We start from the raw sequence: 9,775 nt of genomic DNA, 5'->3' as shown, positions 1-9,775 counted from the left end.
AAAAACAACTAGCATTTATAAATACCTACTATGTGTCATATTCTTCACATATATGATTTTTATCTGCCAACAACTCTGTGGGGTAGTGATTATTCTCATTGTCCAGATAAGAAAACTAAGGCTCAAGGAGTTAGACAACTTGCCTCAGGTCAGCAGCCGGTAAGAAGTAAGACTTCAATTGGAACCCAGGTAATATCTGGCTCTAAAACTGTGCTGGTTGCGCTATGTCATGGTGCACTCACTGTTGCTCTCACCTTCATCACAACAGTTTCTTTCCCCAGGGAAGAGCAGTGGCCCTGTTGGAAGAATGATTACACTTTCTCCTTTCTTTTTTTTTTTTTACCCATTCACTGCACCACCTCTCTCCAGTGGACTTTTAATGTTGGAATCTGGGGATTCAGACCCAATGTATTAGTCTGTTTTCACACGGCTATAAAGAAATGCCCATGACTGGGTAATTTATAAAGGAAAGAGATTTAATTGACTCACCGTTCCATATGGCTGGGGAGACCTCAGAAAACTTACAATCATGGCAGAAGGTGAAGGGGAAGCAAGCACCTTCTTCACAAGGCAGCAGGAGAGAAAAGAATGAAGGAGGAACTTCCAAACACTTACAAAAGCACCAGATCCCCTAAGAACTCACTCACTATCATGAGAACAGCATGGGGGATACCACCCCCACGATCCAGTCACCTCCCTCCCTTGACATGTGGGAATTACAATTCGGGATGAGATTTGGGTGGGGACAAAAAGCCAAACCATATCATCCAAATTTGGGGAGTCATGCCCATCAGTCCCTCATTAATTTCACTGCAAGTTTGGGAGACCATGTGACTATTTTTCAGGTGATTCCCCCCATTCTTTGAGAAGCACAGATTGTACAGAATAATCTGTATATCAAACCCTTGTAACATAAAATTTACCTATATAGCAAACCTGAGCATGTATCCTCAAACCTAAAATAAAAGTTTAAAAATAATAATAAATAAAATTCATAATCATCATCATTATCATGAATTAAAATTTACCAAGTATGCTTAAATCCATGAATTCATAATGATTTTTAGTGAGACACTGGGAAAATGTGCACTTTGGATATTCAATAATATTAAGGAATCTCCAGTTTATACACAAAGATGAAGAAAAAAGACTAAGGAATCTAGGAGTAATTATGGTACTTGAGATGTTTATAAAAGAGTCCTTATATTTCAGAAATATATACAGTCAATACTCATTATTTATGACTCTGTATTTGCAAATTTGCCTACTTGCTAAAGTTTATTTGTCACCTCAAAATCAATATTCCCGGTGTTTTCATGTCATTTGTGGACATGCGCAAAACAGCAAAATATTTGAGTTGCCCAATGTGCATGTTACCAGCCCAGAATGAACAAGGGGAACGCTCTGCCTTCTTTTTTCAGCTCACATAAATGTAAACAAGTGTCCTTTTTGTGGTGTATTTAATGCCATATGTTTCCATCTTGGTGCTTTTTGTTGGTGATTTTCCTGTTTAAAACGGCCCCTGGCCAGGGCCTGTAATCCCAGCACTTTGGGAGGCCCAGGCGGGTGGATGACCTGAAGTCAGGAGTTCGAGACCAGTCTGGCCAACATGGCGAAACCCTGTCTCTACTAAAAATACAAAAAATATTAGCCAGGCGTGGTGGTAGCCATCTGTAATCCCAGCTGATCAGAAGGCTGAGGCAGGAGAATCACTTGAACCCAGGAGGCAGAGTTTGCAGTGAGCCGAGATCGCGCCACTACACTCCAGCCTGGGCAACAGAGCAAGACTTCATCTAAGGGAAAAAAAAAACAAAAACAAAAAACAAACGGCCCCCCAGCATAGTGTTGAAGTGCTGTCTCATGTTCCTAAGAGCAAGGAGGCTGTGATGTGCCTTCTGTGTATTAGAGAGGCTTTGTTCAGGTATGAATTATAGTCCTGTTGGCTGTGAGTTCATTGTTAACAACTCAACAATATATACTAAATAAGGTGTCTTTAAACAAAAACACACATTAAACAAGGTAATGTATTGACTGATTAGTAAAATGTGACCAGAGGTTCACAAGAATCTAATCCTGTATTTCCCCTGATTCAGTGTATGCAGTGACTTTATAAAGCATAACTACCCCAAATAACAAGAATAGACTTTGCTAAAATAGTTATAAAATATATGGCAAGGAGGGGTGGAGGGGAATACTATGTAAAGTGAATAAAATATTTTTGCTGGCCTGGATCTGGCCTTCAGGACCCGAATATATTGTCTCTGGTCTACTTCATTCTCCTTAACTACTAATGTACAGCGTAGAATCTTTTCAAATTTGTTTCAATCATTTCCCTATTGATAGACATTTAGATTCTTTCCAGGTTTTCACTATTATGATCCGTGCTGAGTGCACATCTGTACATGAGCAAAAGTTTCTCTTGAGAAGACACGGAGAAGTGTAATTGCTGAATCACAGGGTACGCACATTTTACATTTTAATAGACACTGCCAAATTGCCTTCAAAGTGGCTGTACCAATTAAATACTCCCACCAGCAGTGTGCGCAAGTCTGGGTTTCTCACTCTCTTGCCAACACTTAATTCCACAAATATTTTTGGAATCTGAATCCTCTGTGTGAGAGATACTAATGAGGTTCTGGGGGTGGAGAGGAGGCAAAACAGGATATAAGCTACATGAGACATGGCATTGCAGACCCAAAGACAAGATACTCAGACTCTCCAGAGATTTCCCAAAGACTCACAGAACAGTATGGTGGAAATAAAAAGCAAGCAACAGTTTTCAAATCTTATCTAGTGGCCCACTTACCTCAAACAATAAGCCATAAAAATTAACTAATTCACTTTAGACTGCTAAATGTGCTAAGATATGACTGTTAGGTTTAGCTGAAGACTGTGATAATTTAATTTTCAAAATAAATCACATTTTTCCTTATTATACATGGATATGTATTTGCCTGTGTATTTCCAAAACAAGGCTTAAAACATGCATGCCATTTAACTAAGCAGTTCTTTTCTGTATATACCCTAGATAAATTATTTGAAAAATTTGTAAAAGCTTAAGTGTAACGATGTTCATTCATAGCATTGTTTACTATCCTCAAAAATATGAACTGCCTACCAATCCAAAAAGAGGGAATTTAATAGTTAAATATGTCAAACAAGCAAAAATAGTTAATCCAATAAAATGTTAAATAAATTTAACCATTCCAACCATCATGAAATGATTTATTCATTGTCATGGAAAGATATTTAGAAAGTAGTATTGTTTTAAAAAAACTATTAATGTGTATGCAATTTTTTTATTCACTCACCAAATATATACTGAGCACTCATAATGTGTCAGGCACTGTACTAGGCTCAGGGGACAAAATCATAACACTTTCAAGCAAAGTCCTGCCTTCAGGGAGGTAATCTGTATTTTTTTTCTTTTGTTTGCTTTGTGGACTACATAGACAGGCTTCTCCAGCCGGGATATGAGCAAATTACTTTTTTTTTAATTAAGCTCTTTGTGATTTCACAAGTGCTGATGGAGTGCTTCTAATTCTTACACCATGTATGACTGGAAGCTCCATTTGTTTAAAATGCCTCCTTTCTAACATCATAGTACTTAGACTAGCGGGAAGAGGGTTTATTTCATTCACAGAATGAGCAGAGCAGACTTCCCTCTCCCAGTACCGTTCTCTGAGAGAAGACATCTCGAATAGTGAAAATACCATGGCTGAGGGGTCAAACAGTCCAGGCTCTGAGCCTTCTTCAGCACCTGACTTAACATCATCCAGCTTCAGTGTGGCCACCTATAAAATGAGCACTATAGATTTCATGTCAAATGAAGTCACAACCATACAGTGCTAAGACAATGACTGACATACAGCTAGGAACTCTCTAGATACTAGTTTTTCTCTCACCTTCTGTTTTTCTTGCCAAAGATTGGTCTCTTCTACAGAAATCACTCATATGAAAAGAAGTAAGATGCAGGACTTCAGCTGGGATATTTGTTTTCTATTTCTCTCATAACATTGAAAAAAAAGAGTGGTCTAGCTTACACACAGATTCTTTGAATATTTCACCAATATTGTTTGATAGTTAGCAAGTGATCAGATTCTACACAATTAGACATCAGCACATGCATGCAGACGTGTGTCTGTCTTTATCTACTTCCAAAACACAGGACCTTCATCCCTGCTTCTGATTTCTCTCCATTGTATACCACTAGAGTGTGTGGGAAAAGTGGAATGGGAGTGTACAGAGGAGGACATAAAAGGGATCCATAGTCACATGAATCAGGACTGGCCAATCAGAGTGTGATGGTTAATACTGAGTGTCAACTTGATCGGACTGAAGTATGTAAAGTATTGATCCTGGGTGTATCTGTGCAGGTGTTGCCAAAGGAGATTAACATTCGAGTCAGTGGGCTGGGAAAGGCAGACCCACCCTTAATCTGGGTGGGCACCATCTAATCAGCTGCCAGCACAGCTAGAATATAAAGCAGGCAGAAAAACGTGAAAAGGCAAGACTGGGCTAGCCTCCCAGCCTACATCTTTTTCCCTTGCTGGATGCTTCCTGCCCTTGAACATCAGACTCCAAGTTCTTCAGTTCTGGGACTCGACCTGGCTCTCCTTGCTCTTCAGCTTGCACATGGCCTATTGTGGGACCTCGTGATCGTGTGAGTTAGTACTTAATAAACTCATATATATATATAAAATAGTTTTGTCCCTCTAGAAAAACCTGACTACTAGTACACAAAGTATTCCATCCACCTGGCCTCGATGATGGGCTTAGAGGCGTGCAAGTCAGTCCAGTGGTTTGCAATTTTAAGATATCCTAGGACAAAAACAAGTTCTCCTCTTTCTGCTAGGGTAGTTTAGTTTGAAGACTTTAAGCCTGGAACTGCTGAGATCCACTGGGTTGACAGAGTCCACCTGAGAAGAAAGCACAATCAAGTGATGGGAAGACCTGATCATCCTAAAGATATTGCTTGAGTCCTCTGGGTCCAGTCCTACCTGAAGCCAAAGCTATGCCTGGACTCCAATTATATGTACTTTTGCTTTTGCTCTCATGCTCGCTCTCTCGCTCTCTCGCTCTCTCTCTCCCTCTCTCCCTCTCTCTTTCTCCCTCTCTCTCTCTCAGTTGAGCCCCTGCTCCACCACAAAGAAAGATCCTGAAATAAGGATTGATAGGCAAAGAGTTTATTTGAGAAGTAATATTAGAAAACACCAGTAAGGTAATTAGAAAGTGAGGGCAAGAGAAGGCAGCCAGTAAAGGGTGCATCATTGAGCAAGTAACTCCTAAAGAGCAACTTGGGGCCAGGCGCAGTGGCTCACGCCTGTAATCCCAGCACTTTGGGAGGCTGAGGCAGACGATTACTTGAGGCCAGGAGTTCGAGACCAGCCTGGCCAACATGGTAAAACCCCATCTCTTCTAAAAATACAAAGATTAACTGGGGGTGGTGGCGGGCACCTGTAATCCCAGCTACTCGGGAGGCCGAGGCAGGGGAATTGCTTGAACTCAGCAGGTGGAGGTTGCAGTGAGCTGAGATAGCACCATTGTGCTCCAGCCTGGGTGACAGATCAAGACTCTGTCTCTAAATAAATAAATAAATAAATAAATAAATATTAATTAATTAGTAAAAGGCAACTTAGGCTCAGTCCCTCTCGGGAACTCTGGGAGACCTTGTGGAGGACACATCTCAGAGCCACGCCATCCAAGAGGCAAAGGAGCTGGGGTATTCATCTCCCTCTCCTACCTATCCATATGTCAGGCTCTTCCCAGGGCTTCATTTTTGGACCCACTGTGAGAACGGACAAAGCAGACTCCTCAGGCAGAGTTGCAGGGGCTGGCAGTCAGCAGCCAAACTGGTGTGCACAGCATCAAGGAGGAATGGATGGGATATGTTTGCTTTGTATTGTTTGGGGTTTTTTTTGTAGGACTTGGATGACTAAACTAGGCTTTCTGCCATTTTCAAAGGAAAAGCATCCTGATTAATATTAATATATGTAAAACTTCCACTCAATGAGAGGTCGTCCTATTTAACCCTAGAATGTTTCTGGGATAAAATATCCATGGATTGCTTCCTAAATCTACTCCCATCCCAGATATGACACCATCGTGGTACAGGAAAAACCTCCACCAATATCTTTTGTGCCCTGCACCCACACTGATCACAGCCAGCTTGATCATCATTGAGACCCCCTAGACTGGTAGAAGCAGCCAACCCTGAAGCTTTCCAGAGTCAGTGGGTACTCCAGGAAACCAGCATCACCTTTATAGCTTCCTGCTCCATTTAATGTCCTGTGACCCAGTCACTGCTCTAAGCTAGGGTAACCACCTGCAGTAACCACAGTGGGCTACCAGCATGCTCAGAGGGCTCTTGGTAGCTGCCCAGAGCTCATATCTTCAATATGCCTCAGAAGAGGCAGAAACCTCCTGCCAAGGGAGCCAGGGAAACACTGGCCCCCAATCCTCCTATGGCAAAGGTCTGAGGGGCAGGGGCCAGGAATCCAAGCTGTAGCCATAACAATTCTCTCCCTCCCACCAGAGAAGGATGCCTGGGACAGAGGGAGGAAGTGCAGTACATGTGTCGTCTCCTACAAGTTTGCTGCAAGGTGATAAATATCTTTTGTTTCTATTGTGAATGAGATCTTTCTTTTCCATTATTTTTTTCTAAGTGGCTACTGTTGGAAATAGGAAAGCTATTGATTTTTGTACGTTTATTTTGTAACTTGCTACCTTACTGAACTCTCATTATTTCTAATAATTTTTCAGGTCAATTCTCCCAAAGGAAAAAAAAAGTTTAGGCGATGTGACAAAACTCATAAAAATGCATGAAATCAGCCACCACCATTCAATTTGTTCTAAGATGTGTATAAAATCAAGGTAGAAATAAAATTCCACCTGTGCTACATGCAAACCATCTGTTCCCACCCACTCCACTGTCCTCCACCGAAAGGCTACTCCCCTGTGTTGAGAGGAAAGTCTTTGAGATCCAAACACAGAAAAGTCCTTTGCTGGAGTCAAATGGCCAAACTTCCCCCATTCCTAGACTGTCAGGACCAGAGTGGATTCCCAAGCTGTGAGGAGAAGCCCAGGACAGAGGCTAGCTCTCTAAAACCTGACCCCAGCGTGCTATCCATCACTCCAGCCCCCTGCAGGCATCCAGTCACCCACTCTACCAGAAGTCTTCAAGCCTAACTGAGCACCTACTGTGTGCCAGGTTTGGGAATGCAAGAATACAAAAGGTCTAGTCCCTTCTTCAGACAACTTTCAAACACAGAACCTTCCCACAGATGTGCCAAATTTTGTTTTATCGGAATAAGCCTAGACAGTCTTCGATATACCCTTTATTATTGACTTTTCTTTGTGGGATGTGGCAACACAGTCAACACTCTACCCAGACACCCACTAAGTCCTTTTACAGTTGCTGTGTGTTGCTCTCCTGGCCTCTGTGGGATCTTGTTTCTGCTGCCTACACCTGCAACTCCTGTTAGAGGACTGCCCTCAGGTGGCTAGAGCTAGTTTGCCCACACCTGCAGAGATTGGAAATGCCTGGGAGCCAACATCCCCGCAAGGCAGCCCCAGGCCAGTGATTGACAGATGCAGGTGCGTCAGATTCCAAGATGTAACTCACACTTCAGAGCTCCCCTGAAGGATCAGGAGGAAGCTACCCCTGCAGGACTTCACTCTATCTCTCCCCCCGCCCTGCCTCGACTCCCTTACCAATCTCCCAAGGAGCGCTTCCTCAATGCATCACTTTCTCATAAGTCTTCCTCTCAGGAAGACACAGAGCAAACCTCTGACCTCCATTGCTATAGTTTTCCATCTGTCAGGTCAGCATAATTAGAAAGTCTCCTGAGAAAAAGATTAGAGTTCTATTATGAGTTAAATTGTGTTCCCCCAAAATTCATATGTTAAAGTCCTAATCCCTCAATGTGATTATATTTGGAGACAGAGCCCATAAGGAAGTAATTAAGGCAAGGTGGGGTCACAAGGAAGGGACCCCGATCCAATAGGATTAGTGTTCTTATAAGGAAAGACACCAACAGCTCACATGCTGGCTTGTGTTCTCTCTCTCTCTCTCTTTCTCTCTGTCTCTCTCTCTCTCTCTCTCTCTGCATGCACAAAGAAGAGGCCATGTGAGGAAGGACACAGCAAGATGGTGTCCACTACAAGCCAAGAGAAAAGGCCACAGGATGAAACCTACCTTGCCAGTACCTTGATCATGGGCTTTTGGCCTCCATAGTTGTGAGAAATAAATGTCAGTTGTTTAAGCCATCCAGTCGATGAATTTTATAAGGCAGCCCAAGCTAATACAGATTCCTTCACCTGCTCTATGGCTTGGATCCTGGAAGAGCCTCCTCAGTTGTATTCAAGTCACCAAGATCTTGTTCCACAAAATAAAATTCCTGTGGCTCTGAGGACAAGTCTGCCTCACCCTATGAAAGATAAAATAAAATTGAAGCCATAGACCAGATGTTGGCAAACTTTTCCTGTAAAGGGCCAGGTAGTAAATATCTTAGGCTATGCAGGTACATGGTCTCTGTGGTAACTACTCAATTCTGCATTGTAGTGCAAAAGCAGCCACAGACCTGATTTGTAAACGAATGAGTGTGGCTGGGTTCCAATAAAACTTTATTTAGAAAAGCAGACCTCTGAGGCCTGTAGGTATGTTGAGCTGTGAACATGGGTCTCTGTTCTACAGGAGGGGTTTGCTAAAGTTGTCAAAAACAAGGCCTGCTTTAAGAGAAACCAAGTGAAATTCAGAAAATGATAGAAGCGTAAAAACTGAAGATTATACTTGGAAACGCTTGGTGATACTGTATAAAAATAAGTACAACACACCCAAATACAGGATGATAGTTTGGTGACAAACAGAGATATCATTTGTCAGATTGCTTATGCCTGTATAGGAGGGGATATGATAGTCTGCACAGCTTAAGCATATGAACTGCCAAAATATGGTGTGAAGGTTGGCCTGACACATTATGCTACAGCATATTGTACTGGCTTGCTGCTGGCCTGCAGGCTTCTCAGTAAGTCTGGCATGGTCAAGATTTATGAAGGCCAAGTGGAGGTGACCAGAGATGAACACAACGTGGAAAACATTGATGGTCAGCTGGGTGATTTTACCTGCTATTTGAAGGCAGGCCTTGCCAGAACCACCACTAGTAATAAAGTTTTGGGGGCTCTGAAGGGGGCTGTGAATGGAGGCCTCTCCATCTCTCACAGTACACAATAACAGATTCCCTGCTTATGATTCTGAAAGCAAGGCATCTAATGCAGAAGTACATAGGAAGCACATCATGGGTCAGAATGTTGCAGATTACATGCATTACCTAATGGAAGAAGCTGAAGATCTTACAAGAAACAGTTTTCTCAATACATAAAGAACAGCATAACTCCATACATGATGGAGGAGATGTGTAAGAAAGCCCACGTTGCTATATGAGAGAATCCAGGTTATGAAAAGAAGCCCAAGAAAGAAGCTAAAGAGAAAAAGTGGAATTGTCCCAAAACGTCTCTTGCCCAGAAGAAACACTGGGTAGCTCAAAAGAAGGCAAGCTTCATCAGAGCTTGAGAACAGGCTGCTGAGAGCTAAACCAAGAAATTTTCTATGAGAATTTTTCAGATAAAGACAATAAATTTATTGACTAAGCTGCTAAAAGAGAAAAAGAAGGAAAGAAAAGCAGACTTCTCCAGGCAATTGTTTCCTGACCCCTACTACAAACTCTTTGACTTGGAAGGGAGTTGAGCAAACCTCAAATCCACCCCAGATTGTGAA

General features: G+C 42.2%; 1 pseudogene; it reads left to right on the top strand.

The window, feature by feature from the left end:
• On the top strand, positions 8,643–9,655 carry RPL5P10 (ribosomal protein L5 pseudogene 10; annotated as a pseudogene).

This window comes from Homo sapiens, chromosome 3 (genome assembly GCF_000001405.40).
Source record: "Homo sapiens chromosome 3, GRCh38.p14 Primary Assembly".
Lineage (NCBI taxonomy): Eukaryota > Metazoa > Chordata > Mammalia > Primates > Hominidae > Homo > Homo sapiens.
This window is presented reverse-complemented; position numbering and strand designations above follow the sequence as displayed.